The sequence below is a fragment of the Homo sapiens genome, chromosome 2 (assembly GCF_000001405.40).
Source record: "Homo sapiens chromosome 2, GRCh38.p14 Primary Assembly".
Classification (NCBI taxonomy): Eukaryota; Metazoa; Chordata; class Mammalia; order Primates; family Hominidae; genus Homo; species Homo sapiens.
The window spans coordinates 75,303,882-75,311,257 of NC_000002.12; the positions used below are offsets into that span (position 1 = coordinate 75,303,882).

At 40.5% G+C, this 7,376-nt stretch overlaps 1 long non-coding RNA gene across 2 annotated transcripts in view; it reads right to left on the reverse strand.

Moving 5' to 3' along the window:
- LOC107985900 (uncharacterized) overlaps window positions 1-4,820 on the reverse strand; it is an 85,220-nt gene extending 80,400 nt beyond the window's left edge. For both annotated transcript variants that reach the window (XR_001739546.2, XR_001739545.2), the window contains exon 1: window positions 1-4,820. This exon is cut by the window's left edge and continues 24,744 nt beyond it. This is a non-coding gene — a long non-coding RNA (uncharacterized LOC107985900).
- Window positions 4,821-7,376: the final 2,556 nt, after the last annotated feature.

A 7,376-nucleotide genomic window follows, 5' to 3' on the forward strand; every position in this document is an offset into this window, starting at 1 on the left:
CTGGTTAATAGCCTGTGGACCTGAGTGCACCTCTGCTCTTCTGCCTGTCTGGAACCTCCCCTGCCTCTCAAACTTACCTACAACCCTACAATCTAAAGGGTACAGGCCTGCTAGAGCCTGGGACTCCAGGACCCCCTCTACCCCACAGCCAGCCTGGCATGGACCTCATCCCCATTGGGTCTGTGCTTATGTCCTCCCAGCCATTAAATATTTCTTAATATTATCCTTGTTTATGAAATTACCTTAAATGAAAAAAGAAGATACAAATTATTTCTATAAAGTCAATAAAAATGAGTTTATGTGGGAAATAATACATTGTTTTACTCTTTATACTTGTCTAGATTTTAAAAGTGTTTCACATAAAAATCACAGAGTAATTTTAAGACTGACAACAAATGTAAGAAAAAGCACAAAATGAAACTCATAGATGGATAAAGTCACGGATTTATAATATGCCTAACTATGTCTCTGCATTACAGAAGCTGGTACAGGCCAATCCTCACTTTCATAAATAGCCCTGGAAACATTTGAAAGGCAAATGTTTGAGTCAAAATATGGACATAAGTGTTATGAAAGGGATCTTGAGCCTAGATAATTTAAACTAATTAAAAATCTCTATTTATCACCCTTATGATTATAGGAAAAGACAACCTCCTTTGGACCCAGGAGGCCAGGTAGACAGATGACAGCTCTCATGAGTGCCCGGTCAGATAGGAGGCACAAGCCAACAGTCCTAGGCCAGGTTAGATGACTGGCCACTCTCAATCATTAAATCCTTATTCAGCTGTATTAGATATACAGAGCAGGGTGAGAAGTGGTCTAATTTGTTTAATTTTCCAAGCCCAAGACATGTTACATCTTAAATTGCTCCCCTGTCTGCCAGCATATAAGAGTTCTTATTGCAGGCTGCCTATAACTTCTCCTCACAACCCTTTGAACTTTCCGAGCCCAAAAGTCTGCTCCAGAGCCAGATGCCCACTATTGCAGGCTGCCTATAACTTCTCCTCACAACCCTTTGAACTTTCCGAGCCCAAAAGTCTGCTCCAGAGCCAGATGCCCACAGTGTCCAATGCCAGAGCCCCTTTACCCAGGTGAAGATAAGCTGACCAACTATCCCATCTTGCTCTTGCTTGGGCCTGGGTGGAAAGAGAGTTTCCAGGATATGAGATTTTTAGTGCCTAAATCCATCTTGGGCAAACTTGGATGAGTTGGTCACCCGAGCTGGAGGTCACCCTAGCTGTAGATTATTATTGGATAAGATGTAACTGTCACCCACTGGGGCTGTAGAGGAGGGGATCAATGGACATCTCTGCTAGGTGACCAAGGGCTACCTGTGAACACTCTCTGTCCCCCTAACTTTTTCCAGAGGGACAGTGGCTGGAAGATAGAGTCCTCTCCATGACAGTGAGAAATTACCTTTCTTTAAATGAGATGTGAAGGAGAGGTCAGCTGACACAGGAGTCAGCTTTTAAATATTACGTGTAAGACCAAAAGCTTCAGGGGCCTGATAGGTGAAGTAGTGGTTGGGGAACTCAAATGGACAGACGGAGTGGTAGAGATCATAGCAACCTAAGAAGCCTCTCTTAGGGCAGGTGATCCTCGGCTCCCACTGAAATCTCAAGTTGGAAACAGGATCTAGTTTGGTAGATCTTCCCATTTTTTAGGGGAAGCTAGCAACCTGGATTTTTATGTGATATTTCAACTTTTCAATGTGGAAGACCAATTCAAAAACATGTAATCACTGTGCAGTGTTTCTCAACTCATGTCTGTGAGTAACTGTGATGCATGCTCTCTGCAAAAGTAAGATGTGTGTCTCCGTTACACTAATTAAAGGTTCACCATGTGATATAGAAGATGCCTGGAGTGGGGATCAGAGAATATCCGCAAGACTCGCCATTTGGCGTCAGCTGCTTTGCATCCTGGTTCTCTCTCTCCTTTTCTCTCCAGGTGTGCAAGTCTCTCCACATCCCCTTCACTCCCCCCCACCCAAGAATTGGGCATACTACATGGGAGAGATCTTCTTTGATTTGTTTCTTTGCTTCTTCCTCATCCCTCCCTCCCCCAACCAGCTTTGAATATTGAACTGGCCATTTCTCTCTAAGGTGGCACATGGCATTAGAGCAATTCGAAAAATTGCTCTAATTTTTCAATTAAAACTTATGGGTTCATTATTAGTATCTTGCATTTTAGAAATTCCTGCTGCAGAATCAAATTCCCTGGGCTCCTATTTGGCCTTTGAAACCAATACTTTATCTAGACACAATGAAGGGGAACACCCTTGGCTGGGGCTTACTAATGGGGAAGAGCGAGTCCCTAGAGCTGTTGGTGTCTAAGGGCACATTCTACAACTCCTAATTAGTGATTCAGAAATTAATTTTCGTTTTGTAGATTAAAGTTGCATTTGTAAATTAACACATATAAGCCTTCTGGCATATCAATGAAGGGGGAAAGCCACCAACACTGAACTACTGAGCTCTAGTAGCTCTGAAATGCCCAAATAGTGTGAGAAGTTAGGAAGGTCCCAAGGACAGTGCTTCTGAAAGTCTTATCTGAAGCTCACTTGCAACAAATGAAGCATTTCAGGAGGTATTTTAGAAATACAGCTTCAAGGCCAGGCGCGGTGGCTCAAGCCTGTAATCCCAGTACTTTGGGGGACTGAGGCGGGAGGATCACCTGAGGTCGGGAGTTCAAGACCAACCTGACCAACATGGAGAAATCCTGTCTCTACTAAAAATACAAAAATTAGCTGGGCTTGGAGGCGCATGCCTGTAATCTCAGCTACTCGGGAGGCTGAGGCAGGAGAATCACTTGAATCCGGGAGGCGGAGGTTGTGGTGAGCCAAGATCACACCATTGCACTCCAGCCTGGGCAACAAGAGTGAAACGCTGTCTCAAAAAAATAAATAAATAAATAAAAAATAAAAATACAGATTCAAGGGCCTAACTCTCAACCTATTGAATCACATTATGTAATCAGAAGGCCCAGGACTCAACTTTAACAAGCTCCCGGCGTCGTTTTCATGCACAATACATTAGAAGACCTGCCGCTACAGGGCCTTTATTCCTGGTTTCTAAGCAGCCACCAAAGCCTCAGATTCCAGGCTGGGAGAGCAAGATGGAGGTTAGTCTTATCTCACCTTTTGGTCAGATAAAAGAGACTAATAATAAATAGGATAAAAGAATACAAGAGAAGAGGAACCACTCATATGAGAATTAGAAAATCATGTTTGAAATGAGGGCAGTTTTCAAAGAGACAATTATGAGAGGAGACAGCCCAGTCTCATAATGGCAAGGTATTCTGAAAGGCAGGCAAGATTTATTTCAAGTGTACCTCATGTCAAGAACTCCACTAGGCAGTGACATTCATTACTTCAGCAACATTTACTGAACACCTATATGTAAAAAATTCAAGCCAAAACACATTACATAGAATATATAGGGCAATTTAATATTGATAACCTGAAGCTATAACAGCCATTATACTTTCTGTGCAAATAGCATACACTGTTAGTAATATAAACGTAAGCAGAAAGACAATAGTAAGATATTTTGACATACCTTCAATCAATCTGCTAAACCAAGTAGATAAAACTTAATGTTAGAGAACTTTAATAATGTGACCAATAGGTTGGAATTACTAGATGTATGGCAAAGTATATAACCTAAAATGGATGATCCATGTGTGCCCTCAAACACTGATAGTGTAAATAGGCATAATTTTTCCAGAGGGAAATTGGGTAGTATGTATCCAAAATCTTTGAAATGTGCATATCTTTAATCTTGAAATCTTAAACCTAAGAATTTTTACTATGGAGAAAGATGTATGCACAAAGATGGTGGCTGAAACATATACAAGTCCCAAAATGGGGGACTTCTCAAATAAATCAGTGCCTTTGGCATATGGGCATACCTCATTTTATTGTGCTTTTTTTTTTTGAGCTTTGTAGATATTGCATTTTCTACAAATTGAAGGTTTGTGGTAACCCTGTGTTGAGCAAGTCTATCAGCACCATTTTTCCAATAGCATGTGCTTATATGTGTCACATTCTAGTAATTCCCACAATATTTCAAATGTTCTCATTATTATTATATCTGTTATGATGATCTGTAACCAGTGATCTTTGATATTACTATTGTATTTGTTTTGGAGTGCCATGGACTGCACCCATATAAGACAATAAAGGCCAATTAATAATTCTACAATGGCCTCTAAGTGTCTAAGTGAAAGCAAGAGTTACACATCTTCCACTTTAAATCAAAAGCTGGAAATGATTAAGCCCAACAAGAAAGGCATGTCAAGAGTCAAGATAGGCCAAAAGCTAGGCCTCTTGGAGCAGTCAGCCAATTATAAATGGAAAGGAAAAGTTCTTGAAGCAAATTGAAAGAGCTATTCCAATGAACATACCAGTGGTAAGAACGCAAAACAGCCTTATTGCTGATATGAAGAAAGTTTTAGTAGTCTGAATAGGCGGTCAAACCAGCAACAACATTCTCTCCATCCAAAGCCTAATCCAGAGCAAGGTTCTAACTTTCTTCAGTTCTATGAAGACTGAGAGAGATGACAAAGCTGCAAAACAAAAGTCAGTAGCTAGCTGAGGTTGGTTCCTGAGGTTTAGTGAAAGAAGCCACCTCCAGAACATAAAAGTGCACAGTGAAGCAACAAGTGCTGATGTAGAAAAGCTGCAGCAAGTTATCCAGAGGATCTAGCTAAGATCACTGATGAAGGTGGTCACACTAACAACAGATTTCCAATGTAGACAAAACAACCTTCCATTAGAAGAAGATGCCATCTAAGGCTTTCATAGCTAGAGAGGAAAAGTCAATGCCTAGCTTCAAAGCTTCAAGGAACAGGCTGACTCTCTTGTTAGGGGCTAATGCAGTTGGAGACTTTAAGTTGAAGCCAATGCTCATTTGCCATTTGGAAAATTCTGGGGTGCTTAAGAATTATGCCAAAGCTACTCCACCTGTCTGCTATAAATGAAGCAACAAAGCCTGAATGACAGCACGTTTGTTTATGGTATGGTTTACTAAATATATTGAGCCCACTATTGAGATCTATTGCTCAGAAAAAATTCCTTTTGAAATATTACTGCTCACTGACAGTGCATCTGGTCACCTAAGAACTCTGAGATATACAAGGGAATTAATGTTTTCATGCCTAACACAATATCCATTTCACAGCCCATGGATGAAGGAATGATTTAGACTTTCAAATCTATTATTTAAGAAATACATTTTGTAAGACTGTAGATGCCATAGATAATGATTCCTCTGATGGATCTAGGCAAAGCAAATGGAAAACCTTCCGGAAAAATATTATAATTTTTTTTTTTTTGAGACAGAGTCTCTTGCTCTGTCACCCAGGCTGGAGTGCAGTGGCACAATCTTGGTTCACTGAAACCTCCGTCTCCCAGGTTCAAGCGATTCTCCTGCCTCAGCCTCCTGAGTAGTTGGGACTACAGGCATGAGCCACCTCACCCAGCAAATTTTTGTGTTTTTAGAAGAAATGGGATTTCACATGTTGGCCAGGCTGGTTTTGAACTCCTGACCTCAAGTGATCCGTCCTCCTCAGCCTCCAAAAGTGCTGGGATTACAGGCATGAGCCACGCACACAGCCAGGAATTTATAATTCTTGATGCCATTTAAAATATCTGTAATTCATAAGAGGAGGTCAAAATGTTAACATTAATAGGAGTTTAGAAGTTAATTTCAACCGTCATGGATGACTTGGAGAAGTTCAAGACTTCAGTGGAGGAAGTCACTGCAGATATGGAATAAATAGAAAGAGAACTAGAATTAGAAATGGAGCCTGAAGATGTGACTGAATTGCTGCAATCTCATGATAAAACTTGAATGGATAAGGAGTCGCTTCTTATGAATGACCAAAGAAAGTGGTTTCTTGAGATGGAATGTATTACTGGGGAAGATGCTATGCACGTTGTTGAAATGACAACAAAGGATTTAGAATAGTACATAAAACCCTTAGTTGAAAAAGCATTGGCACAGTTTGAGAGAATTTACTCCAATTTTGAAAGGAGTTCTAGTGTGGGTAAAATGCTATCAAACAGCATCACATGCTACAGATAAATCTTTTGCAAAAGGAAGAGTCCATTGATACAACAAATTTCATTGTTGTCTTCTTTTAGAAAAAGGCTACAGCCACCCTAGCCTTCAGCAACCACCACCCTGATTAGTCAGCAGCCATAAACATCCATTAGCAAAAAGAGTATGACTCACTGAAGATTCAGATGATTATTAGCATTTTTTAGCAATAAAAAATTTAATTATGGTACATACATTTTTCTAGATATAATGCTATTGCACATTTAAGGGTTTAGTGTAAACATAACTTTTACATGTACTAGAAAACAAAAACATTTATGTGACTCACTTTACTGTGATATTTGCATTATAGCACTGGTCTGGAACTAAATCTACAGTATCTCTGAGGAAGTATATCTGTATTTTTATCAAAGCAACTGTTTCTCCAGATGAAATTAGAAAGCACAATTTATGAAATTCTGAATGAATTGGAATAGTAAACTCCTAGAGCTTTGTACATTCCCAAGAGAGGTTCCCATTTTCAGTGAAACAAGGTGGGGAGCCCCGAGGCCCGCAAAGGCTCATGACCAGCAGTAGACGTGCAGTGAATTGGTGTGGGCTGGCTAGACATCTGAAAGTCCTCCAACATGAAGGCTGGCCAGGTCTCAGGATCAGATGAGAGGCTTAGAAGCCAGGTATTCAGTTGTAAATCAAGACCATACACATCCCTCCATTATCTGGCATTATGTAATGGAGGGACCAAGATACCACTGGGGTAAAGGAGGACCAGGAAAAACACCCAAACTTTGACCGAGATTATTTGAAAGCAAGCAGAAGGAGAATAAGAAAAATTAAGAAATATGTGTCAATAAGATCGGAATAGTGGTTTCCCTCCGGAAGAGTGAATAATTTAATCGGGGGAACACATGGGTCTTCAAATGCATGCATAGCATTATACATCTTAAGTCAGATAGATGGTAGGTACCTCCTTGAGTGTCCAGAAGATTCAATAATACAGTTCTTAGGAGACATGTGTTACTCTTCTGGGCTGAAGAGATAAGCTGTGAAGGACTATCAGATGTAAGAAGGGTGGAGCGACTTCTTCACAAAAGGAAACTAAACTCAATTTTTCGCAAAAAAACGAAACTAAACTTTAAGACAAAATTAGTGCCCCAAGAGGGTGATGAGTAATGGTGGAGCCATCTGTAAACATCGGTAGAGGTTGCTGGAAGCAGGGAATAGACTGCTTTCAAATAGCAGGTTAGAAGTTTTCTGTCCTCAGGCTGCAGAGGCAGCAGCTCCCACTGTCACCAAGAACTCTGCTCTGGGGTTGGT